The sequence below is a fragment of the Homo sapiens genome, chromosome 16 (genome assembly GCF_000001405.40).
Source record: "Homo sapiens chromosome 16, GRCh38.p14 Primary Assembly".
Taxonomy (NCBI): domain Eukaryota; kingdom Metazoa; phylum Chordata; class Mammalia; order Primates; family Hominidae; genus Homo; species Homo sapiens.
Genome location: NC_000016.10, coordinates 51,379,542 through 51,405,783, shown reverse-complemented (window position 1 = coordinate 51,405,783; position 26,242 = coordinate 51,379,542). Strand labels below are relative to the sequence as shown.

Sequence of the window (26,242 nt, the reverse complement as noted above, 5' to 3'; positions counted from 1 at the left end):
GGTGTGCAAATCAATGTTATTATATGTAACACTGATAGCCGTTATCTAGCTAGTTAAGCCAGCATGGAAACACTAAAACCCCAAAACAAACAAACAGACGAACAAAAAACCCTCTTGATTTTACATTAAGACTTTGTGTATGCTGTTCACTTTCATTATTACAAAATGGTTGCTGTAGCTCCAGAAGCCCCACCCAGTGACTTTTTCCTACATTTCATTGGCCACAGCTTCCTCCCTTGGAAAAAGGAGGTTGAACAGGGATTGGCTCAGCTATCCATCAGCATGTGCCACACTTATTCAGTATCACACAGGTAATGAATGACAAAGTCAACTGTCTAAAAATGCTTGGTGGTATTTCTTTCTTTCATTAACACCAGTGAGTTCCCTAATATGCTTGTTTCCTAGGAACCCCAAACTTGAGGGCCTGGGGCATTTTTCTTCTTACAGGGTTTACCTTATCTTTTATGGGGATTCAGATGTATGAGATGAATGTGACTACTCTGATCTTACCCGCTTTAATGAACAGAGGACCGAATCACTTCACTTGCTTTCTCCTGTACACCTCCCCTACCTCCTTCTTCCCAACTCAGAGCAAGACCTCCCCAAGCTTTTATGTGAAGATGGCTGTGGAATATGATTTGTATTGCCTTTCCATCAAGCGGGAGAAAAGACAGAACTCAACTGACACAATAAGATTAGAGTGAGGAGATGGGAGCCAAAAATTCCTTCATTTGGCCAGCACTGTGGTTCATGCCTGTAATCCCAGCACTTTGGGAGGCCGAGACGGGTGGATCATTTGAGGTCAGGAGTTCAAGACCAGCCTGGCCAACATGGTGAAACCCCGTCTCTACTAAAAATACAAAAATTAGCCAGGCATGGTGACTAATTTCAGCTACTGGAGGCTGAGGCAGGAGAATCGCTTGAACCTGGGAGGTGGAGGTTGCAGTGAGCCGAGATTGCACCACTGGACTCCAGCCTGGGTGACAGAGTAAGACTCAGTCTCAAAAAAAAAAAATTCCTTCATTTGAACTGGTGAGTCTCCCTAGAGGATGCTTGTTGATTTCTCCAGTCTGCATTTGTTTCTGCTTTTGTTAATAGAACTCACTTTTCTTTTGCAGAAACATTCACTTTTCTTTTGCACTTTCCTTTTCTCAGTCCATGGAGTTCCTGGTGACTAATGCCATCCACAAGATCTGAAGGTGTTGTGTAACCTAGACCTGGCCCTTCTCTCAGTGCATCCCCCTCTCCAGAGTGACCAACTCAGAGAGGTCATGTGCTTAAGGTGAGCCAAAGACAATTTTTCATAGATCTTTGCTGAAACTTTAGAGAAAAGGGCTCTCTCTCTGCCCTGGGAGTGCTGGGCTGGTATAACGTAATGTAACCTGAATCTATTGGTCATCATCACAATGGGAAAGCCCGGCCAATGATTGAATGTAGGAAAGCAGAGAGGGAAATGCACAAAGGAGAGAGAGAGAAAGAGAGAGAGAGAGAAATCAGATGATGCCACTTCAGCACCTGAATCCTACCTTTCTTGTCCAGTCTAATCAGTTGTGTATGCCAAAGAATTCCCTTTTTCAGACTAAACCCATGAATTTGAGTTACATTTCGGATCACTGGCAATTGAAATGGTCACCAGCAGATATCTAAAAATTGTAGTCATCCCTTACTCAGGTATTGCCCTTCATGGTTTACAAAGCCCTTGCAAACTTTTCTCTCATTCAATCTTCTCTGTGAACCTATGCGAAAGGTAATGTCTTCCCAGCATTCACAGATGAAGACCTGGACCAGCTGAGGCCATGACGCATTCATTCTCTTCAATCTTGCAGTGGTTGTTGAGTGCTTGTCAATGTGCAAGGCTTTGTGCTAAGTGGTAGGGAGGTAGTGACCAAGTCAGAAGCCACTTCTGTCCCCCAGTCTAGTTGGAGAGTGGACAATACCCACTGGTTTGACAAATCACTGTCAAAGTTCACCTGTGTACATGCAAGAAAGGAGCAGGTCAGAAAGATGGAGAAGGACCATTCTCTGAAGACTTTGTAATTCAGTTGGAATCAAAAGGATGAGAAAGAGAATTCTAGGTAGAGGGAAGATCAGTTGCCAAGACCCTGAGGCAGGAAGTATGGCATACTGAAGGAAATTGGAGAGGCCCAGTGTGGCTGGAGCACAGAGAACAAGGAGGTACCTGAGTAGACTGTGACAGAGGAAGAGTAAGAACTGTGGTCTTCATCTTTATGCAAAGACATCGAGGCATGACTTTATCTGTATTATAAAGGTAACTCTCTTACTGTAACATAGAGAACAGACTGGAGCAGTAAGAGTGGATTCAGGAAAAAGTTAAATGTGCCTGGCATAGCTCATAGGACATAAACAATATTTCTATCAACTGAGCTTCATCACTTGTCCCAGATTATAGAGCCAATAAGGATCAGAGGCAGATGGGGATCTGCAGAGTGACCCGGAAACCATGCTTGCAACCACCATGCAACACAGAATATGAACTAAAAGCACACTTCCTACAGTAGAATTATGAGATTATTCTTCGATTTTCAGTAACTTGACAGTTGGCATTTCCTAACCTTTCCACTTTTCTTCTTCCTCCTCCCTGCCTTCCTTTTCTTTCGTTCTTTCTTTCTTTTTTTTTTTTTTTTTAAATAATGGTTGCACAATTCTTTAATGAGATTCAGGCAAAAACCTACTTGCTATTTGTGTTGCAAAGTTCAAAAACTCCATATTGTGTCATCACTTTTGAAAAATGTATGACCTAGAACAGTTAGCAAATTCCAGAAACCTTTGAACTCCAGTTTGTTGAATATTGTAGTTTATGTTTTCTCTAAATTGTCCGGAACCATTTGTACCTTGGATTATTAATCTATAACCAAACACAGTTCTGGCGAGGCCAGCCTCCTTTCCCACTAACCAATCATGCCAGGAACATGAGTAAATCTATTATCTTTTCTTTGAATTCTGTCAATATATTTATTTCAGATCTTTATTCTGGCTTCTTTCTCCCTTTATATTTCATGGAAAAACTGTCCAGATAAGATCAGAATTGCTTTGCCATTTATCATCGGCAGCCAAGTCTAACTCAAAAGCCAAGTTCAAAAACATATTTTTTTTCCACACTCAGATGCAAAACAGCCAGAAAAAAGAGTTGGCCACAGCTGTCTGCCTTTATATTTGAATATGTAAATGTATTATGATCTCTGACTGCCCCATTAGTGGATTCACCTTGTAAATTAATTGACATTCATGGAGACTGTAATATAGGCAAGCTACTGACAGATAATTTCAAGGAATCTAGATTAGTTCCTAGAAGGAAAGAGCCTAGTGTCTACAGAACAGGGCAGTACATTGAGTCAGTGCTCTCACGCCAGGCTCTGAGAGAGCTCTGTGAACCTCCCTTCCTATCTTCAACTGTCCACTGTGGACAATGGTACATACCTCATAAGGGTTCAGTCTGTAATTATTCAATGAATATTTATTGAGCACCTACTATGTGCTGGCACTTTCATAGACACTGGGATAGTAAGCCATACTATTATAGAGCTGACATTCCCATAGGAGAAAGAGATGTGTGATAGATCAATGGGATTGGATTGCACAATGCCTATATGGCTGGCAAAGTATTGTTTCTGGGTGTGTCTGGGAGGCTGTTGCTAGAGGAGTTTGGCACTTGAGTCAGTGAAGAGGTAGACCCACCCTCAATGTGGGTGGGCACCATCCAATCAGCTGCCAGTGTAGCTAGACCAAAGCAGGCGGAGAAAGGTGGGATGTCCTTGCTTGCTGGGTCTTCTGGCTTCCTCTTCATGTCCTTGCTTGCTGGGTCTTCTGGCTTCCTCTTCTTCCTGTGCTGGATGCTTGCTTCTGCTCCTCCTGCCCTTGGTCATTAGACTCCAGATTCTTTGGCCTTTGGACTCTGGTACTTGCACCAGTGGTTTGCTGGGGACTCTCAGGCCTTTAGCCTCAGACTGAAGGCTGCATTGCTGGCTTCATTGGTTTTGATTCTCTTGGTCTTGTACCAAGCCACTACCAGCTTTTCTCTTTCCCCAGCTTTTAGACAGCCGATTATGTGACTTTGTCTTGTAATCATGTGAGCAAATTCTCCATAATAAATCCCCTTTTATATATACATAGATCCTATTTGTTCTGTCCCTCTGGAAAACCCTGACTAATACAAGACACCAAGAAAATGAATCAATCAGACAATTTTTCTTGGTGTTAACTCTACGGTAAAAATGGGGAAAAAAAATGAAGGAAAGAGAAATGAAGGGGCACTTCAGATGGATTTTAGATGGGACTTCACGTAGGTTCACTCTCTGAAGAGTTGACCTTTTAAGTCAGCCATTGAAGGGAAGAAAGAACCAGCCATGGGGAGATCTTAGGGAATAGAAGGCCACATTGAAGGAACTGCCAAGTCTCATTTATGAAATGAAAAAGGCCACAGCATTGGAGCAGAGAGGATGGGTAAGAGGGGAGTGATAGGAGGTGATGGTGGGAAGGTAGAGAGGGACAAAATCACAACTTTCAAGGCCATGTAAGGAATTGGACTTCAGTCTAAGCACAATGGAAAATCACTAACAACCTTCAACCTGGGGATAAAAGGAACTGATTAGTGACGGTGAAGGGCTGCCTCTCAATTTCTCCTATTGAGAAATTTTCAATGAATGAAGATTTTCAACATATAACTCATATGGTGTAGGTACCTAGAAGATAGTGGATCATGATCCGATGCTTCCAAATTATTGGAAACATGAACGTGGGTTAGGAGTATCTACATGTTACCAAGAAGTGCGGGAATCCTTGGTGTTTGTCTAATTTGGAAGAAAGAATTCAACCAAGAGACACATAGCAATGGTTAAGTAGCAGAGTTTATTGAAGGAAGACAAAGTACATTCCTGGAGAGGAGTGGAAAAAACTTTGGACTGTTCTGGCTGGAAAAATAGTATAATAGTAGCAGTGTTTTATTTAAAAAGACAGTACACCCTGAAAGACAAGGTGGAGCAGGCTGCTCAAAAGAATGAACCACAGGCCACTGGAAAGAATGAGCCAATAGCAATCAGTGCTGGGGGCCTCTCTTTAGGAGAATCTTACATGATTATTCATGAAGGGGCAGGAGGAGGTGTCACTTGCAACCATATTTTGGGAGGTCCCTTTGGGTGCGCGTGCTCTGTGATTATACATTGCTAGTACACATGTCTCATTGGCATGTAAAATCTCCACCCAGGGGTGTAGTTTTTACTATTATAATGAGCAAAAGGCTGCTCTAGGGCGAGTTTTTGGAGGAGTATGCATGCTTATCAGCGGAGAAAATTCCTAGCATGGTTGTCTGTGGCTAGGGCCTGATAAGTCCCCTCTAGAGCCAGAGGAGCCCAACCACAAGGCCAGAAGTAGCCAATGTAGCCACTGTCTTTTGCTGTCAGTAGGTGGGCATCATCTCCAGGACTTCTGTTCCCAGGGGCTCCCTTCCCTGCTCATTTCTGGCTCTCTGCTTACTCTAACATTAAGAGACCTTAAAAAATACCTGCATTCAAGATGGTGCAATAAATGCTCCTCAGATGTAGTAACCAATCCATGCTCAGCTTCTGCCAATAATAACTTCCCAAATGCAGTGGCTTATGCAAGATCATAGTTTCTTCCTCCAAATGGTCCAGTGGCTTATGGTACCTCAATGACGTCAGGGACACAAACTCATTCTACTGTCTCTCAACCTGACATGCAGCTTCCTTCTTGATGGTTGAGATAGCTGCCATCCTAATTCTTCCTGCAACATCTACATTTCACTGAGAGAAAGGGGGAAAGGAATTTGAGGAAAGAGAGCACACTCTTTCCCTTTTAAAGTTGTGAGGAATAAGTTGCACACATCAGTTCTCATTTCCCATCAACCAGAACCTGGCTGCATAGCCACAACTAGCAGCAAAGGGAATTGGGAAATGCAGTTTTTGGCTGGGGAACAATGTGCCAAGATCAAACTTTTCTTATTATAAAAGGATATTGGAAGGATAAGTTTGATTCTTGCCATAGCTTCCAACCCAGTGCAAAAGTGGCTGTTAAGTTCCTTCAGCCTTTGGAGAACCAGCTTTGTTAAAAAAAAGTTCTCTTTCCAGGGGAAAAATGAGTAGAATACATCATAATAAATAATAAAAATAATTAACTAATTAATCTCAACATTACTATATATTGATCATGCTTTCCTACAAAATCCACAGCTCTGTGTTACATGAAAACAGCAGCTTGTTTCTTTAAATTAAAAAAACCAAACAAACAAGTCATTGTTCACCTGCCTCTCTTACAGCCTGCTCTTTCAGCTGTTTTCATAAAAGTGGAGAAATATTTGTACTGTTTATTTATATTTCCTCATCTGGTACTCTTCTTTGTGATTAGTGGCATGCAATTTTAAGTCAGATGTTTGGGATTCAGAGTGTTCTTCTGTATATGAAGCAAAATAATGATAAATAATTCATTCTTAAATGTGTACCTTTAAAATCATTAGCACCATTATAAACATGTTTCTGAAAATTTAACCCATGACCCACTTATTTTGTGATATTAGTATGTGTACAAAGATCATTTTCCTAATCCATTCAAAAAGTTTTGAGTTTTTACTATGTGTGCTCAGTGGATTGACAGTTGGAGGTTACTCTCTGCTTATTTTTGTATCTATAAGATACCAAGAAAATAAGAGTTTTAGCAATTAACCTGTAGTGCAGATGACCAAACAGGATACTAGAGGCCTACAGTTGCATAATGGAAATAGATTGAAGTAAAGAGATCAACATCTTGGCTGTGCTAATGGCTTTCTATATGAGCTTAAATCACTTCTATTCCCTAGTACTCAGGTTCCTCATCTGTAAAATGAGGGATGGGCCCCGCTTTGCACTGGTCAATGCCTGGCATGGAGTTGCCACTTCCACACTGCTTGCCCATGCAGACATCACTAATCAATCACAGCATTTTTTAATATTCTGCTAAGCTGAGACATAGTCTGAAATTCCTCTTAACACAATCTTCATTCTACCACAGTTGAATCAAAAGAAGATCTTTTTGTCATCCCCTGAATTCAATGGTTTCTAAGATCTCTTCAAACTTTAGCATGTTAGAATCTGATAAAGTAGAAAACAAGGGAAAACAAGAAAGGAAAACTTAGGTTGAATTAATACATCCACCTGATATGTGACGATTTGCAATTTGGAGTGTTGGCCTCAAATGCTGAACAATAAAGACTGCTGGCCTTTATTAATTAAAAAAGATGAAGCATAAATTTTGGAAAGAGTGATGTGCTATTTCCTCCACCTTAAAGCCAGAGGATGTAGAGAATATAAATGCAAATTACATGCAAGTATACTTTGGGGACCTTCCTATTTCTTAGAACCGAATTCAGCTTCTGAGGAAATAGAAAAGATGACTCCAAGTCTATATTTCCCAGGAGTTAACTGTAAAAGTTTTCAAGAACCTTAAGAAAATTGCCACCTTCCATCATAAAATAAAACTGTTTTTTCAATGTTAGCAAGTGACGGGAGACTCTCTACATGAGGATGGAGGGCGAAGCTTTGCAGCTGGGACTCTTATACCTGAGCATTACTTTTTTCTGGTGGTTATTCCTGAGTGTTTCTGTAAACTCCACACTGGCCTGGGTTGAGGTGAGAGGGGATGCTACTGCCCACTGTTTCTGTCTCCTAGTTGTAGACAAACCCTTCCTGTAATTCCTCATAGCTCTAAGATGAGGTGGGAAAAATAAACACAGAGAGAGCCAGGGAATAAGGCTACCTGGCTTGTTCAGATTGGCAAATTCTCATTGTAAGCAGCTCCTCCTGGTTCCTTATCCCCTGGAAATACCATTGACTACCTTGTCAGAGCTCCCTTCTACCACATAAGGATGCAAGATCAAGGCCAAAGATAGACTGGAGTTCCTGCTCCTGCTGACCCAAGATCCATCTCTCGCATTCCTATTGCTGTGGTTTGAATATGTGTGTCCCTCCAAAATTCATCTGTTGGAACATAAGCCCCAAGGTGATGGTACTGAGACAGCCAAGTATAAAGTGGTCCCAGGAGAACCTCTGACTGGCCTGTGCACTGGGAGTAGTGTGCACTGGGGTGGAGCCATGGAAGTTCATACCATTTGTAGGGGGCAGGAGCCTGGCCTCTCCTGTTTGTGGGTGGAAGCTGGGATTCAATCTGAGAGGCAGGAAGCCCACTAGCAGGACTCTGGTTTTGCTGAGAGTCCTCATTTCCCATTTTTTTTCCTTTTCACCCAATGCACCCTGCCCTTCTCAAACCTCAAAGTGTCTATGAGCCTAATTTTTCATGGTCATGGGACTAGGACCCCATTTTTAGCTAAACTAAGGAGAAAGTCCTACAAAAGTATTAAGGAATGGGGCCTTTTGGGAAATGATAAAGTCATGAAGGTTTCACTCTCATGTTGGGATTAATATTCTCATAAAGGAAGCTTCAAAGAGCCTCCTGGCCGTTCTGTCCCTTCTACCTTGTAAAGACACAATGTTTGTCCCCTCCAAAGGGTGCAGCAACCAGGTGCCATCATGGAAGCAGAGAGAGAGCCTTTACCAGACATTGAATCTGCTGGCACCTTGATCTTGAACCTCCTAGCCTCCAGAACTGTAGGCAATAGGTTTCTATTGTTTATACATTACCCAGCCTAAGGTATTTTGTTATAGCAACAGAGACAGGCTAAGACATCTGTTTTCTGCTTCCTCTCCCCAGATGAGTGCAGTGAAGAATGCTCACCTCTTGCAGGAAGCCTACACATACCCACAGGTTCTATATACCCCATAAAACCCATATATTTAAGACAAATCAAGACTTTCTTAAATAACAAGAGTCACTATGTGTTACAAGCTGCATTTACAAAAGCTGTAGTTAGGACTGTGCTTGTCAAAGGTTAATGTGAATGAGGATCACCTGAGGATCTAGATAAACTGCAGATTCTGATTCAGTGGGTCTGGGGTGGGGCCTGCTATTCTGCATTTTTAATGAAGAAGATCAAGCTATGCAACCCCAAAATATGCTATTTTGGCATAAGAATCTTTTAGGGCTGAAGGCATTTTAGATCCGAAATTCCTTATCTGTATAAAAGCAAAGCCTTTCCCAAAAAACTTAATTGTCATAAGTCCCTCCCTTAGGAGTAATTCTAATATTCTTTTCTTGGAGAGGAAAAGCTGGCACCACACCCAAACAGACATTGCCACAAGACTGTCATATCTCCCATTTATTCTCCTTAGGGTCTATTTATCTTTCCAAAAAGTCACTTGCTTTTCCATAAATGCCCCTTCTCCCTTCTCCCTTGACCTGCTAATTTAGGTATACAGACCTCCAAATTCTAACCACTCCTTTGAGTTTCTCATCACTGAGTTCTCCCAGGTGTATGTTCTGCACATGTCAATAACATTTGTATATTTTCTAGGCCAGGCCTGGTGGCTTATGCCTATAATCATAGCACTTTGAGAGGCTAAGGCAGGTGGACTGCTTGAGGCCAGGAATTGGAGAACAGCCTCAGCAATATTGTGAAGCTCTATCTCTGCAAAAAATACAAAAATCAGGCATGGTGGTGTCTGCCTGTACTGCAGTCCCAGCTACTCCAGAGGCTAAGGTGGGAAGATCACCTGAGCCCAAGAGGTTGAGGCTGCAGTTAGCCATTGAAGCAGGATATTTCCCTGACACCTTCACAAGACTTGTGATGGGGTGCCTCATTCACTCAGCCCACTGCTGTCAACTCCTTGCGGGAAGGAGCACTTGAGCAAACTAGGTGGGAACTGGCACCAGCCAGATCAAACTCCACTCAGACCTGCTGTATTCCACCCTTCATGGGAGGAAGCGTGCAGGTGAGCAGGTGCAGGAGATGGAGTGAGCACTTTTGGATGCCAGCAGGAGTGAATACTGTGCATGTCCCATGGCAGCATCCATGTGGGGTTCCTGTGACCCCTGAAGCCCCAGAGAGTATGTTACAGTGCTCTTTTTAGCTTTGCCATCCACGGACAGCTTAAGTGTTAACAGCTTGGTGGGCCCACGGCTGCTCTCCGCCAGTGAGGGCAAAGGGCCAGTATGGCAGCCTTTTGTATCCACACTTGTGGCCCCTGAGCTCTAGTCCAGCGTCCAGGAAAAATGAGGTCTCATGAGCGAATTGAAGGATGGTAAATGTGAGGGATTTTATTGCTGAGGAAAGTGGCTCTTAGTGGGAAGGAGAGCTGAAAAGAGGATGAGGGGTGGTAGGTAGTCTTCCCCTGAAGTCCAGCCATCTCCAGTTGGATTCTTCTGCAAAGTTACACCATCAGGCTGTCCCTCTGAAGTCAAGCCGCTTCTCTCCAATGGCCAGCCATAGTCTCTGACATCCAGCTGCTTCTCCTCTCTGCCTGCTCAGGCTGGGGTCTTTATAGGCACAGGATGGGGCAGAGTAGGGCCATGTGTGGCTTAGGAAAAGGCAACATTTAAGCGGGAAAACAGGGATATAAGTTCTCACTGTGGGCCTCAGTCTCAGGCCTTTGGCTCAAAGGTGGGGCTTCAGCGGGGACCTGCCCCTGTCTGCCCAGAATTTCTCTGCCTCCTCTCCCTATCACCATGATTGTGCCACTGCACTCCAGCCTGGGTGACAGAGTGAGACCCTGTCTCAAAATAAATAAATAAATAAATAAATACATAAATAGCAATTAAAATTAAATTAAATTAAGCAAAATGTGTGTATTTTCTCTTGTATATTATCTGTCTGTTGTTGTTTAATTCACAGGCCCCCAGTAATTGAACCGAAGAGTGTAGGGGGCAAATTTGTCCTCCCCTACACTAACAAGCTCCCAGGTGATCCTGATACTTCTTATCCAAGAATCACACTTTGAGAAGCTATAACATGTACCCTGATGTGGATCAGGTTATCCAAGGAATAAGGAGCTGCCTGGGTAACTCCTCACTCTCCCACATTTGGTGCCTAGAAAGACCCAGGACCAAGGAAAGAAAGAGCCCACAGAAGTCTATTGTGCAGAAAAGTCCCACACCAGTCTCAAGGTACAAAGAGCTAATATAGGAGGCCAAAACTAAGGAACCAATCACTGGAGCCACTCTCAAAAAGCAAGTGCAAAACCCCAGTTCATTACTCTAGAGGGTGACAGACTGGTGAAGTGTTTTGGAAACATGTTAGATGCCAAAATAAGGATGTTTAGCCTGGAGAGGAGAAGGTTAGTGTGTTGGGTTGCCAAATTTAGCAAATAAAAATATGGGACACTCAGTTAAATTTGAATTTCAGATAAACAATGAATACTTTTAGTATAAATATGTCTTGTGCAACATTTGGAATATACTTACACTAAAATGTTGGAATTTTTTTTTTTTTTTTTGAGACAGAGTTGCTCTGTCACCCAGACTAGAGTGCAGTGGTGCAATCTTGGTTCACTGCAACCTCCGCCTCCTGGGTTCAAGTGATTATCCTTCCTCAGCCTCCCTAGTAGCTGGGAATATGGGCACACACTGCACACCCAGCTAATTTTTGTATTTTTAGCAGAGATGGGGTTTGATCATGTTGGTAATTCTGGTCTTCAACTCCTGACCTCAGGTGATCCACCCACCTCTGCCTCCCAAAGTGCTAGGATTATAGGTGTGAGCCACTATGCCCAGCCAGATTTTTTTTAAATCTGAAATTCAAATTTAACTGGGTGCCCTATATTTTATCGGGCAACCCTACTTATGTGGGATGTTGGATACCTTCAACTCCTTGAAGGATTGGCATGAAGCAGTCCTCAACTGGGTACAGTGATCAACTGGGAAGCTTTAGAAACAATACTGGGGCCTGGGTCCCACCTGCAGAAATTGTGATAGAAGTGGTCTGGGTTTCACTCTGTCACTGGGGTGTTCAGAAACTCTGCAGGTAATTTGAAGGTTCAACCAAGGTTGATGACTACTGTATTCAACTGACTTAATTCAGAGTTGCATGGTAGTGTTTGAGTCATTGAGGAGCCACTAGAGACAGGGAAAATTTGGGTCTTCATGTGAACTGTCAAACAAGAAAAGTCAGCTTCACACAAGAGGTAATGTGTCTCCTGTCTGAAGTGTGTGAGTAGTAGCTTGATGATTTCTTAAGGGGTTTTTCTGTTTTTTTGTTTTTTTGTTTTCCTGTGGGAACTCAAGATTAGAGCGGGGTAGGGAGGTGACTGTTGGAAGGGTGGGGGAGGATTGAAGAGAAGGGTAGGATGAAGTGATTACCATGACATTTCCATCTCTGAAATCCCAGGACTGGTTTAGTGACTACATTAAAAAATAAATGAGTCATAGAATGATACACAAAGATAAGCAAAAGAAAAACAAATGAGTGCATGCAAAAGAAAAAGGGACATTTGTGTAAGGCCTGTAGTCTAGTTAATTGTACTATGCCGACACATTTTCTGGTTTTGGTAATGCACACTAATTACCTGAGATGTCATCTTTAGGGGAAGCTGAGTAATGGGTACACAGGACCTCATTGTACCATGTTGGTAAGCCTACAACTATTTCAAGGTAAAAAGCTTAAAATAAATTAATTCATCACATCGCATTGAACCATTGCTTTTCCAGGAGGCCTCAGCAATGGATGATAGCAGGATTGGTCTAACAGTGGGCAAGAGCTTCCCACTGGGGAGGTGTGGAATCTGTGTGTGTTCCTCTCACTCACCGCCCAAGTGGGGACAGCCTCTTCTCAAGGATTCTCCTGGTATCCAGGCAGATGGGGGAACCGCAGCCCTTCCTGAGTGTATGTTTACAAACAGAAACAGGGCCAGTTGGCCAGACTGAAAATAAAGCAACCGGAGCTTTTGAAGCGGTCCGAGTTCCTATCCTAGAAGGGGGAATAAGTCACCATGTTCCAGATTTAATTAGCAATACAATGAACTAATAATAAAAATGAAGACCAATCCTGAGTCAAGATGAGGTAACGGCAGTGAACTGCAGTGACTCTGTGGGTGTGGAGCGTGCGTGTGCGTGTGTGTGTGTGTATGTGTGTATTTTTAGATAGTGACTTATTCTGCATGTGGTAATTAGGGCCCCAAGGGGGATGCGAATCTTTTTTCCAGGGTTGGCAAGTGGAGGGAGGAGGCAGCTAAAATTCCCACACATCTGGGGCAAACAGATCCTGCACTCCAATTTCCTGTCGGCGCCACTGGTTTCTTGCAGAATTACTTGCTAAGTAAATGACTGTTATAAGACTATGAAGATTCGGTCAATCAAATTAACCCCTTTTGTCCTTTGCCTCCCTCCCCCCGCCCCCACCCCAACGGTTCCCTTCATTTGCCTAAACTCGGCGGCTTTTGAAAATGTGTTCAAGCTTGAAGGCCCAGCCTTCCTCACATTGGCCAAGTGTAACCTGAGAGAGAACCCGGAGGCCCCCAATTGTTTTGCTAATCAAGATTATTGCTCCATTGAGATGTGGACGCACAGCCTGGCTGACAAAATTTGTCAGTTTCCCATGAAATAGTTCTGTCAGTTTAGCCCGGGTGCTGGCAACTATTAACATATAAATGAAGTTTCTCTCTGCTCGGCCCCCACCTTCCCTACCCCTCAGCCACCCATCCTAATGGAGGCAGAAAATATAAACACCGCCCCCCCACCCCCAGCTCCCAAACTCTCTGTGTGCTTAAATCAAACCAGCTTCTTTTCTCCGGTGCCTGGAAATCCTGTGGGCCGTGGGGGCTCCAGGGGGGCTGGGAGGAGCTCATTTGCACAAAACTACTTTTAAGACATGAAACTGCCAGGCCCGAGTCCCCCGCTGACAGCAACAGGCGACTGGCTAGGCCTGCTAGGGGACAAATGGCCGTCTGAATGCCAGGGCAGACCTCCAAGGCAGCCTTCCGGGACAGAGTGGCAACGTGGAACACGGGGTTTGAAAGAGTTATCTGGGCTCAGGGGTCAAACGCCCGCCATATCTTGCTAGTTTGACCTGCCGGATGGCAGGACTGGGAACAGGTGGGAGCCGCTAGGAATGGCCAATCGCTGGCTTTTCTCACCCTGGATTCTGGGACAAATGTGGGGCTGGCTGGGCTATGGCCTGGGGTGAGCTCACCTGTCTTCACCTTAAAATGACGACTTCCTTTGCCACAGCCTGGCTTGGGCACTTAGCTGAGCTAAAAGAAGAAAGGAGATCAAATTCTATCTTCTTGTTTCTCCTAGGATAGAGTTAGGGCTAAAAGTATTTGATATATTATATTGTATTTATATTACTCATATAATAATATATGTGTATATGTATATAACCTGTCAAGCACTCCGGTAAAAATAAATTCACAACGCCAAAATGACATACATTACAGAAATAATCTCATTTTGGCACCGTAAATTTATTTTTACCGGAGTGCTTGATACATATACACACACACATATATATGTATATACACACATATACATATTATATATACACATATATGTATACATATAAAATCTCAAGCACTGTGGTAAAGATAAATTAATATATGAATTTTATGTGTGTGTGTGTATGTGTGTGTGTGTGAGAATGTGCAAGTCAACACAAGTGAACAATATTAGCTATCTGGTGCTAAATTAGTTATCTGAAAGGAAAGTTCTGCCAGGAGCCTAGTGTGGTCAGAGAGGCACTCAAGATGATTCTGGTAATTGGTTCAATGGGCTTTGCAAGGTGGAGACTTCTGCCAGGGATCCTTCAATCATGTTTTGTTTCAGCTATGTGGTAAATTGATGCTTTCGTGGCCCCCAGAGACAGAGCCATGAATGAGCCTCCCCACCCCCACCTCCGAATTGCTTCTCTTTTCCAGTCTTGTGTCTCTTGTAGCCTGATAGGAAAAGACACCTGGGGTGAAGGATCCCCCAAGGACTTCCTAGTCAGAAAAGCCTCGGTTGAAAGGTTTTCCTGAACTCAGGGCATCTAGCTCTTAGCCAGACTCTTCAGATTTGGTCTTGGAATCAAAGATTATTTTTAGTTTATTTGATGTGACTTTGAAATTTTCATCCTGAGAATGTAGAGGAATAATCTCCAGGTGTTTTCACCATGAAATCTGTAGAAATTAGCCTTTCAGTAAATACAATTTAATGGTTAAGAGCTGTGGAATCAGACTGTCTGGATTCCTAGCTGTGTGACGTTGGGCACTTATTTAACATCCCTGTGCCTTACTTTCTTCTTCGATAAAATAAGCAAAGGAGAGTGACCTTATTATTTTTAAGGGAAGAGGAATACACTGTATTATGTTTATAAAGTGCTTAGATAGTGTCTGCATTTAGTGAGTGCTTTGTGTTTGTCAAATAACACAGTAGGAAGAATTCAGTGTCATTTCTTTTATTCGCTGATTTAGTTGATCATCACTTTATTTATGAACAGCAAGGAAGTTTTCATTTCTGGGTAGTGATCCAAGTTTATTTTTAAAATAAATATATTTAAGTTAAATATAAAGTCAATTTCAAGAAAGATACTAAATAAATTATTGTGTGGGGGACTGTGAGTATGGTAAAACATGAAGATGGTAGTTAAATGCCTGAAGTTTGAAAAACACTGTTATATACATGATTAGATTTGGGGAGAAATCTCAGGTGTGTATTCCAAAGAACTGAGGAATGCAATGTCATTCTTTAATTCTCTGTTAGCATTGTCCCATACTTTGAATTTTTATGTGAGACTTGGGATTAGGCTTTGTTATGTGACTGAATTGTATCCCCACAACCACCACCAAAATTCATTGTGTTGAAGCCCTAATCCCCAATATAACTGCATTTGGAGAAAGGGCCTTTAAGGAGATAATTAAGGTCAAATGAGGTCATCAGGGTAGTGCTCTGATCCAGTAGGACTGCCGTCCTTATAAGAAAAAGGAGAAAAATACCAGGAATATGAGCACACAGGGACTAGGCTATTCTAGGCAGCCATCTGCAACCCAAGAAGAGAGGCTTCAGGAGAAATCAACCCTGCAGACAGCTTGATCTTGGACTTCCAGCCCACAGAACTATGGGAAAATAAATTTCTGTGGTTTAATTCACCCAGAATGTGGTATTTTGTTATGGCAGACCTAGCAGAATAATACAGGCTTATATGGGCCAAAGGAAGAGATTTTGTCCGAGAGTTCTTTCTCTCTATAATTAGGAGTAATTTAAACTAAACAAAAACAAAACAAATGATTGTGTGTCAGAAATAACCACACAATTGCCAATCCTCTTCAATGAACTAAATGTTTGTCCCCCTCCCTCATTCATATGTTGAAACCCTAATCTCAACGTGATCACATTTAAAGGTAATTAGAGGGATAATTAAATCATGAGAGGTAATTAGGTCATAAGGGTGGAGCCCACATGAATGGAATTAGTGCCCTTCTAAGAGGAGACTGGAGAGCTGCTAACTCTCTTTTCTCTATGTGTGGAAACTAGGAGAAGTTGACTGTCTGCAACCTGGAAGCAAGCCCTCACCAGAAGCTGACCATGCTTGCACCCTGGTCTCAAACTTCCAGCCTCCAAAACTGTGAGAATAAATATCTGTTGTTTGAAAGCCACCCAGAGTACCATAGTACTCTGTTACAGCAGCTCAAACTGACTGAGACCCTCTTTAACAATGACAATAAAACTAAGAATGGCTAAAATGTACTGAGTGCTGACTAGATTGGACACCGGCAGTGCCACACACACCACATAAATGATGTCACCTGATTGTCAAAACAGATCTAGGGAGGAAAATTCTAGAGACATGAAAACTGCAGCTTGGTTCTCAGGAAGGAAGTGCAGAAGTCGTCAGGTCTTTCTGCCCTTAAAATCAGAGCTCTCAACCCCCATGGCATTCTGCTGGCAAAGTTCTCTAAACTAAAGAGGCTTCATGAGAGATGCTTAGCAGGAGCCAGGAGAGCAGCCTAATCCCACAGGGAGGACATGCAAGCCTGCTGGAAGGCTGAGGGGTTCAGGGAAGGCTGCCTCGGCCCTCCTTCGGGCCACACGTTCCCGACCTGGATTATTTCCTAAAATGGTTTCATTTTACAAATGAGCATGAGGCTCCGCTGGAAGCAGCCAACATTGGCAGAGATTAAATAATTAGCATTTCAAAGTGTTCGTTTTCATTTTCCTCTTTGCCAGGGTGAGAACCACTACAGGACAAAAATGAGCTCCTTTTTTCCAGTCTCAGCCCAGGAGGGATCTTCACAGAGAAAGCAAGCCCAGCCCATCCCCACAGCTGGCTCCCTGGTGCCCATTCTGAAAGGCTGGACCCATCCTGACCTGTCCCTGCCCCAAGGACTGCCTGGTGAGGGATGGCTTACCAACACTGTGACTCAGTCCTTCCAACATGCCCAACAGGTCAATTCTGGGATATTCCTTACAGGAATTAATGAGAGCACATTGCCGGTAATGTTGGCATTAGTAGATTACATTTAAATTTAAAAATTCCTTTTATGGGGTTTAAGAATAGAGACAAGACACCCATGCAATAAAGAAAGGAGGAGACTTTGCCTGGTCTAATGGAGAAGCTGGAGCTGCATTGTTGGGTACAGTGGCCAGTGGCTACACCTGGCTTTTGAGCCCTTGCACAGTGGCAAGGACACATTGAGATGTGCCCTAGGTGCAAGATACACACAGGATTTCAAAGACTGAGTATGAAAAAAGAAGAAAAAATGTCTCATTAATATTTTTATATTGGTTGCATGTGGAAGTGATAACATTTTGGATATAAAGTTGACCTTTGAACAGTATGGGTTTGAACTGCACAGGTCTGCTTATAAGTGAAATTTCTTCTGCCTCTGCCACCCCTGAGACAGCAAGACCAACCCTCCACTTCCTCCTCCTCCTCCTCCTCCTCAACCTGCTCAACGTGAAGATGATGAAGATCAAGACCTTCATGATGATCTACTTCCACTTAATGAATAGTAAATATATTTTCTCTTCCTTGTGATTTTCTTAATAACGTTTTCTTTCCTCTAGCTTATTTTGTTGTAAGGATACAGTGGTATATAATATTTATAACATACAAAATATGTGTTAACCAACTCTGCTATCAGTAAGGCTTCTGATCAACAGTATGCTAACATTTTTGGACAGTAGTTAAGTTTGGGCAGAGTCAAAAGTTATAGGCAGATTCTTGATTGTGTGGGGTATTGGCATCCCTAATCTCTGCACTGTTCAAGGGTAAACTGCATTAGCTGAAATAAAGCATATTCTTAAAATGAACTCCACCTGTTTCTTTCTGCTTTTGTAAATGTAGGTACTCTAAAGGCCTTTCCCATTTCTCTAAATCTTTCTCCCTCATTCATCACCTTATTTTACTTGTCACCATCTGAAATCCTGTTCTTCATGTATCTGTTTGCTCTTAGGTTTCTGTTTCTCCTTCTGAAATATAAGGTCCCTGAAGGCAGGGGTTCTGTCTGCCTATCTAACTGGCTGCTTTACTTCCAGTATGCAGGGCCAGGCACAAGTTATACACTCAATAAGAGTTTTTTAGATTGCATGAAGGAGGGAAAGGAGCTTAGGTAGAAGTTCCTATTCTAAAGCACCTCTGGGCACCAAGTAGAATGGACCATTTTATTGCTTGCACTTGAGGCCACCATATGCAAAAACCTTTCACTGACCCTATGGCATTTTAGGGCACTTATATGATTACCTGTCAATCTCCTTGTACTGGACACTAAGCTCCTTGATAGCAAGAATCTTATTATAGTTACTTTTTTATTCCCAGGCACATAGGAAGTATCCAGTAAATGTCTAATAAATAAAGCAACCATTGAAACTTTACCATAGAAGTCTAAAATGATGTAACTTTCTCAATAAGAGAGCATTCTAGCCTCAGTTAAGTAATGTTGGTTTTCTTTCTCCCCTCTCTGTCTGATCATCTTAATGGTCCTTCTTTTCATGACAAGAAAACAGCTGAATTTCACCAGTAAGATATGGGTTTGGCGCGCCAGCTGGATGTGATAACACAATAACCCAAATTACTGTTTATATGGTGCTTTATATTTGGCTAGGTGCTTTCATGTACTCTATCATGTCATTTGGCCCTCAAAACTACTTTGTGAAGTGGGAGGAGCAGAGATTAGAATTGCAATTTACAAATGAAGAAATAGGATTACAGACATTGCCCAGAGACACTGGGAGAGCTAAACTCTAAGCCCAGGGCCTTAGATTCCTCCTTCAGTGTTTTTTCAGGGTTCTTCTGACTAGAATCCAATAGACCACTCACTCTCTAACAAGCGTAAGGCAGCAAAGTTTCTTCCTCTTAGCCCACCTCTGCCCAACAGGCTTCAATGACTTCCTGTGATTTGTAAGATACAATCCAAACTACTTCTCCCAGCAAGGAAAGCTTTCTGCAGTCTTATCTTTCTAGTCTTATTTTTGGATAGTAATCCCTTCCAACTCAGAGTCATGCACCCAGGTACATAAACCTTCAGATATCAGCTTTCTTGGGCATGCCTTGGACTTCCACACCAGCAGTCATTATAGCAAATAAAGAATTTAATAAACACAGAGCTAGCTTAGCAGTAAACAGGAGTTTATTACTCAAATCAGCCTCCCCAGTAGCTCAGAGGCTAGGGTTTTTAAGGATAATTTGGCACGCAGGGGGATGCTGATTGGTTGGGGATGAAATTGCAGAGGTGTGGAAAATGGTCCTCCTGCGCGGAGTCTGCCTCTGGTTGGGGACCACAAGACTGGTTGAGTCATGAGTCAAGGTCCAGGTGGAGTTGGTTACGAGAACACAAAAGTCTGCAAAACACCTCAAAAGACCAATCTCAGATTCTACAATAGTGATGTTATCTATAGGAGCAACTGGGGAGGTCAGAAACCTCGTGACCCTGGCCACATGACCCCCAAGCCCCAAGGAATTATGGAAAAGCAAACCAGGGACTAATGGCAGGTTATCATTTAACTATGCCTATATTTTTAGCAGAATTTAGGCTCCTCCCATAATCCTAATCTCATGGCCTTCTTTAGTTTTACAAAGATAACTTCTGTCCCTGAGCAAGGAGGGGGTTAGTTTTAGGGAGGGACTGTTATCACCCCTGCTTCAAAGTTAAACTATAAACTAAATTTCTCCCATGGTATGCCCAGGAACAAGTGAGGACAGCCAACCTGTGAGGCTAGAAGCAAGATAGACTCAGCCATGCTCGACTTCTCTCATGTCATAATCTTTGCAAAGGCAGTTTCAGTGCCTCATTGATACTTTGATGGTCCATCTCCAAATCACCTGCTCACCATCTCACTTACAGGCATTTATTTTATCTGTAGTGGGCATTTGTGGTGATATATGCTAGTAGCACTACATGTATTCACATCTCTAAGGAGGAGCTTCCAATTTCCTACAAGACCCCAGTCACTGTCAAGGCTGCATAATTCAGGGGTGGTTACTTCACTTAAGTGTATCCATTCACAATGTTTGAACAGGAAAAGAGTCTCTGTAACAGCTGCCTCAGGAAACGTGACAATGAGGAGCCAAAGTCAGTGAATGAGGAAGAAGCCACACAAAGGTATAAGGGATGGAAATGCCTCGTTAGTTTCAAATCTGTGGCTCCAACAGTTTTTGCAGCAAAGCTGCTGAGCTGTGCTTCCAGAGTGTATTAAATAAGACACAGGCTTGGCTATCATAACATAGAAGTCCTAGAGCTCTGACCAACTAGTGGATTGGTTCCCCTTCAAATAAGTGTTCTTCCTGGTCCAATCAGCTGTGGCAGGAGCATCTGGTATGCGGGCTGTGTTTATGTTAAAGAAGAGTAGGATGGTTCCTTGGTACCTGTCTGTTTCTAGGGCTGGTGTGTGCAATGCATCTTAGCTTTGAATGCCAAAGCCTCTCTGTACTCTATGTTCTACTTGGGTTCAAATCTCAGCTCCACTGCTGTCTAACTGTGCGATGCTGAGAAAGTTACTTAGCCCTTCTGCATCTCAGTCTTCTCCTCTTTGAAGCCAAGATAGTAATAATTGCCACACTGGATTATTGAGAGAATAAGTAAGATAACACATGGAGCATGTTTAGAACAGTGTCTAATGCACAATCAGCTCTCAATACACATTGGATAGTGATTACTGTCACCACTCCCTCAGCCATGGCTCTTTTGTGCTGAAGTTGCTCAGCAGAGGTCATCTGCCTTGCTTTTTCATTTGGTAAGCATAACAGTCTCCCTGTGAGACCTCTTCTTGGGATCTCGCTTCTCTTTTTGTAAAACCCTCTTTGCACTCTGCAGGGTGCTGTGTTTATAAGTCCTCTGTATATATTCTTTACCTAATCATTCCCATTGTCAAGAATCTTTCAATGGCAAGTATCGTAATACATGATTCGAATTTGCTTGATCAATAAAAACATTTTCTGGCTTTGTAACAAACAGTCCATATTTGAGACTCATGCATATGAGACTTGATTTGCCAGCTCAATCTCAGCTTCAAGAACTTAGTTTCTGTTTTTTCTATTCTACTTTCTTGGGTGTCAGTTTAATCCTAAGGATGGTGGGAAAGAAAAAAAATTATTGCAAAACTAGTTAAAGGAGTAAAGAAGACTTTATTCATGAGTATTGCAGTAGTGGGGAGAGATCAGGCTCAAATTTGAGTACAACAAGGACAAGTGGGGATTTATAGCCAAGGAACAGGATGAGGGTGTCAGTGGATTGGAAATTACTAAGAGGAGAGACATCAGGGGTAGGGGATTCTTGCTAAACTGGCCTAACAAGATTCTTGCTAATTGCAGGAAAGTGAGGGTTGAGAAACTTGATATCAAGTGTGATGCCATATCAAGGGTGGGAAGTAATTTAGCAGGATTCTTACCAAAACTCGGCTGGGCAGGCCAAAGACAAGCCAGGGGTCAAGGTCAAGGCCTAGGTGAAAAGAGAGCTCAGAGGAGCTTGACTAAAGTTGGGTCACAGGGAGTCTTTGTAAGTGGCTCCTCTTGTGGTTTAAAACGGCTGCTGGCACCTCCTTAGTCCATGCGTTCTTTAATCAAAGCCAGCAGCAAAACCAGGAATAACTTTGTCCTTAATTCCCAGGAAAAAGTCCAAAGAATCACTTATATCAGATCAGCTTATTCACGTGTGATCCTCTGGACCAGGAGGTTGGCTGTGCTGGTTTGTTTAGCATTGTCACTTGATCCACTCCTACAGCCAGGAAAGGAAGTGATAGCCTCTAAGTTGTGAAGCTCCCAAACAAAACTTGGGCCCAGGCTCATCCCTAAATATGTGGGGATCCCAGGAAAGAATATAAATAGAAGCCCACCCTCCATATGTATGAAGATTTTTAAGTTATCAATCAAGCTAACAAACAGTTTAATAAAATATGTTCTACCTGCCCTGGGTTGCCAGATTAAAAAGACTTCCTAAATTTTTAGTTGCTTAATCTGGCAACCCCACTTCTACCTTGAAAAATGCCTTCATAGTTACAACACATTGAAGAATAAGGGTGAAGCTGCCTGTGAGTCCCTCTGATGTCACCCAGGAGAGCACAAAGAGAAGCAGGGAAGGGGTTCTCCTTGTTCGTGGGAATAATGTTTTGTTATGCCAAAACCTACCACATTCTTCCTATCTGGGAAGAAGATGTGTGTAATTTGTCTTTTATGTTACCTAAAAGCTTCCATCGCTGAGTTCTTCCTGCTCTCCACAGCACTGTCTTTCTCTGACTTCAACAGTGGGGCACCCTCAGATCTTCCTGGCATTCAGGCCCATCTGCATGTTGTTTTGAGGAAACATGACTGGAGAGGTGGAGAAGCATTTCCCTGGGGCCTGAACTGTATTAGCCACAGAAGCAGACTAGGTCATGCTGTGCCAGGGCTAAGCACCAGATCCACATGATAGAGGCAGCTATGTATTCTGTCATAAGTGTATTCTTATGCATATGTTTGTGATTTGTAGAACTCTCTCAAGCTGAGGGCACAGGCCAGAGGCCTTTTGTGTCAGGTCTAGGGACAGCACTGGGCTTTTTCATTCTAGACATACATACAGCAAGACCACGTTTCCTAACCTCTTTGGGCCATGTGATAGAGTTATGGCTAGTGAATGTTGGCTACTTCTTGCCCTGACCCATGAAAATCTTCCACAAAATTCTTTGCACTCTCTTTTTCCCCATTCACTGGATAAATGGAAAAGATTCTAAAACCCTAGTGGAGAATAGGATAACAGATGGAATAACTTCAATACCTGAATGACTGCCTGGAGCAGAGCCTCCCTTCAACTTCCACCTCCAATTGAATTTTACCCAAGCAAGAGATCTCTGTGATGTCAAGCTGCTGAGCTGTTGGTTTTTCTCTGTTAAGCAAATTGTACTACCTTAACTTGTGCAAGGGATGACGTGAAGAGGGATAGAGAGAATGTTTGCTGGTGTGGCAACTAATAAGCTAATGTCTACCATGATTACCTCCGAACAGCTCTTAGGCATATAGCAATAATAGTCAAGTGACACCTATTACCTACATTCCCAGCTGTGTCACCAGAGGTCTTTTCACATTACAAAATCCAGAACCATTTAACCTAGAGTCTGCATGGTTTATGTAATGTACCTAACACGGCACTCTGCTCATGTGACTTAGAGCATTGGCATGCAGAGAATTCAGGACCTGGAGTTGATTTTCCAATGCTTGGAGGTCATATTCTTATCAATGTGATTTTAAGCTATGAACTGAAAAATCAAAAACCAATCATGTAATATGTGGCTACAAAAATGTCAGTGTGGGCCCACAGTTAAGAGCTGGTAGGAAACACAGCCTGTTGTCAAAGACTCAACCAGGCAAGCAGCCTCTCTTTTTAAGGGCAAACACACAGAAGTTTTTGTCCATTTCCTCAGCCTCAATGAACTGTATTTGAAATCACCTCCAATGCACTATTGTTTGGAGTGAGGGTGTGGGGAGGTAAGAGTTTCCTCAAAAGTTCCTGAAGATGGAGTTTTAAAATGCATAGACTGAACTCAATGGTGGTGGGGATCATCAGGGGTGGGAGGGTTATGGAGCTTCTTTGACCAGAGGACAGTATCAAAGGAAGGCATAAAGCAGAATGGTAAACAATCTTGGGAAATCTGTAATAATTTAAAAAGAAACATGTAGGGTCAGGCATTTCAAAGAGAAGTATCAAAGTGTCAAATAAGAATAAATTTATAAAGCCAATACAGATTGATTGGTCCCACTTGTGGGGATTCCAATCTTCTTTAAATGCACTACCTTCTTTAAATGCAGTAAAGTCTTTTCCTGTGTTTGAGATCACGATGGCCACTCAGTGCACTACCATCCCCTAACACAGCATAGGGATTTAACATTGCCCAACAACCTGGAGTCAGGTCCTGCCAGGAGAGCCTGAAGTAAAAAGAGAGGCACAATTGCCAATTCTGTTTTAAATCAAGCTTGAGAGTCTTGATGTGTGTCTAAAACGTTCAGCAAAGAGTTAAACAAGAAACTATAAAATATGATAGAAACAATATGAGATCTAACATCTCAACAGTTGCCAAAACTAGCAAATAATCAAAATCTGACTACAAAACCTCTCCAGATCCATAATGGCACCAATACCAGCTTAAGAACAAAGCTGCCCAATATATTTTTTAAATCCCTCTCTTCTCCACTCATCTCCTGACCAAATGTTGGCAACGAATTGGCCTGCAGAATTTTGAGTTGTAAAAGGGTTCAGAGATTAACTGGAGCAGTAATTCTGAAATTGGGGGAGGAAAGGTACCACCCCCTGGGAGATGGGCACATATCAGAATCATGGAAGTGGATATTTAAGGGAATATTTAATGCTGTAATTGTATACTAGAGGCAGGAAAGAATTTTGTTTTCCTAGAAGACACACAAAGAAACACTATGAAAATACCCTTAACTGATGGAGAAATGAGACGTCCTCCCTGCCAACCGGGAAGATTCTAATGGAGGTGAAAGAAAGGATGTGTGAGGTGTTAAAGTTATTAAAAGGGGATGTTGTTCATAAGTTCATGAAGGTGAAAAAGCGTGACCTTTTTCTCTACATATTTAATAATTCATTCACCATTTCATTCAATTCAGCAAATAATGATTAAACACCGACTGCATACCAAAGAGTGTGGAAATATTGAGAAAGCAGGGTTAAATAAGCCTACCCTATTGCAGTGTGTAGATTCACACAAACAGAAAATGGACAATGCAAGTTTAGTTTTATAGAGATGTGCAAGTTATCCTAGAAGAGACAAACTCTAGCCACAGGGTGTAACTAGTGAAGGCTTTTCTGAGAAAATGATACCTCCCCACCACCATCATCACCAACTCCAAGGTCATTATTATATTTCTTATGAGCTGGACAGTAAATATCTAAAGAGAGAGGAAAAGTGAAAACTTTGTGGTATGCAGCCTCTGAAAGAGCCCCCAATGAGCCTGGTCTCCTGTTACTGTATAATCCTCTGCCCTCGGGTGAGGCGTGAATCTAGTGATTCATTTCTAAAGGAAAGAACACAAACACAGCAAAAGTGATGAGATGTTACTTAGATTGGGTTACAAAAGAATCGGGCTCTCACGTCTCTTTCTGGGTCTCTTTCTCTCTATCTCTGTCTGTCTCACACTCTCTCTCTCTCAAAGTTCTTGCCCTCAAAGAAGCAAGTTGCCATGTTGTCAGTAGCTCCATGCTGTCAGGCCCACATCCCAAAGCCCTACCAACAGCCAGCAAGGACTGGGACCTGCCTGTGGGGATTTTCCCCCAGTCCCACTTTGAGACCCTGACGCAGAGACTCAAGCTCAGGTATGTCCAGATTCTTGGTGCCCCCACCTCACAATTGTGAGGTTATAAATGCTTGCTGCATGAAGACACAATATTTTGGGGTAATTTGTTACATTGAGATAGACAACAGACTCCTAACAAACACTGTAAAGATGAAAAACTGATAATAAGTACCTGTATGAATCACTGGAACTTCCATTCTTTGGGATAAATTAGACAATTCAAGATCCTAATAAAATTCCACCAATGCCTGGCTTCAAAAGAGAAGGATGGTAACCAGGGGTTCGGGGGATGAGGAAAATGGGGAGACAGTGGTCAAAGAGCACAAACTTTCAGTTATAAGAAGAATATGTTCCAGAGACCTAATATACAATGTGGTGACTATAGTTGATAATGTTGTATTGTATACTTGAAATTAGCTAAGAGAGCAAACCTTAAGTAATCCCATCTCTCTCTCTCTCTCTCAAACACACACACAGACACACACAGACACACACACACACACACACACACACACACACGGTAACTCTGTGACGTGATGAATATGTTAATTAGCTTGAGTGTAGTAATCATTTCACAACATATATATATATCAACACATCATATTGTATACCTTAAATATATACAATTTTTATTTGTCAGTTATGCCTAAGTAAAGC

The 26,242-nt window shown here is 42.5% G+C and overlaps 1 long non-coding RNA gene across 1 annotated transcript in view, besides 1 other annotated feature; it reads left to right on the top strand.

Annotated features, from left to right (window-relative positions):
- The window catches only part of LOC102723323 (uncharacterized), a 137,467-nt gene extending 119,350 nt beyond the window's left edge, over positions 1–18,117 (top strand). The window contains exons 3-4 of the long non-coding RNA XR_933558.3: positions 1,156–1,282; positions 17,032–18,117. This is a non-coding gene — a long non-coding RNA (uncharacterized LOC102723323). The remainder of the gene's footprint in view (positions 1–1,155; positions 1,283–17,031) is intronic.
- Positions 11,699–12,898: an enhancer, noted in NCBI's record as "CDK7 strongly-dependent group 2 enhancer chr16:51426797-51427996 (GRCh37/hg19 assembly coordinates)". NCBI's record gives its function as "activates an origin of replication core promoter dependent on BRD2, BRD4, P300/CBP, MED14 and CDK7 cofactors, with strong dependence on CDK7, by STARR-seq in HCT116 cells {active_cell/tissue: HCT116}" and the evidence as "EXISTENCE:reporter gene assay evidence [ECO:0000049][PMID:35650434]".
- Positions 18,118–26,242: the final 8,125 nt, after the last annotated feature.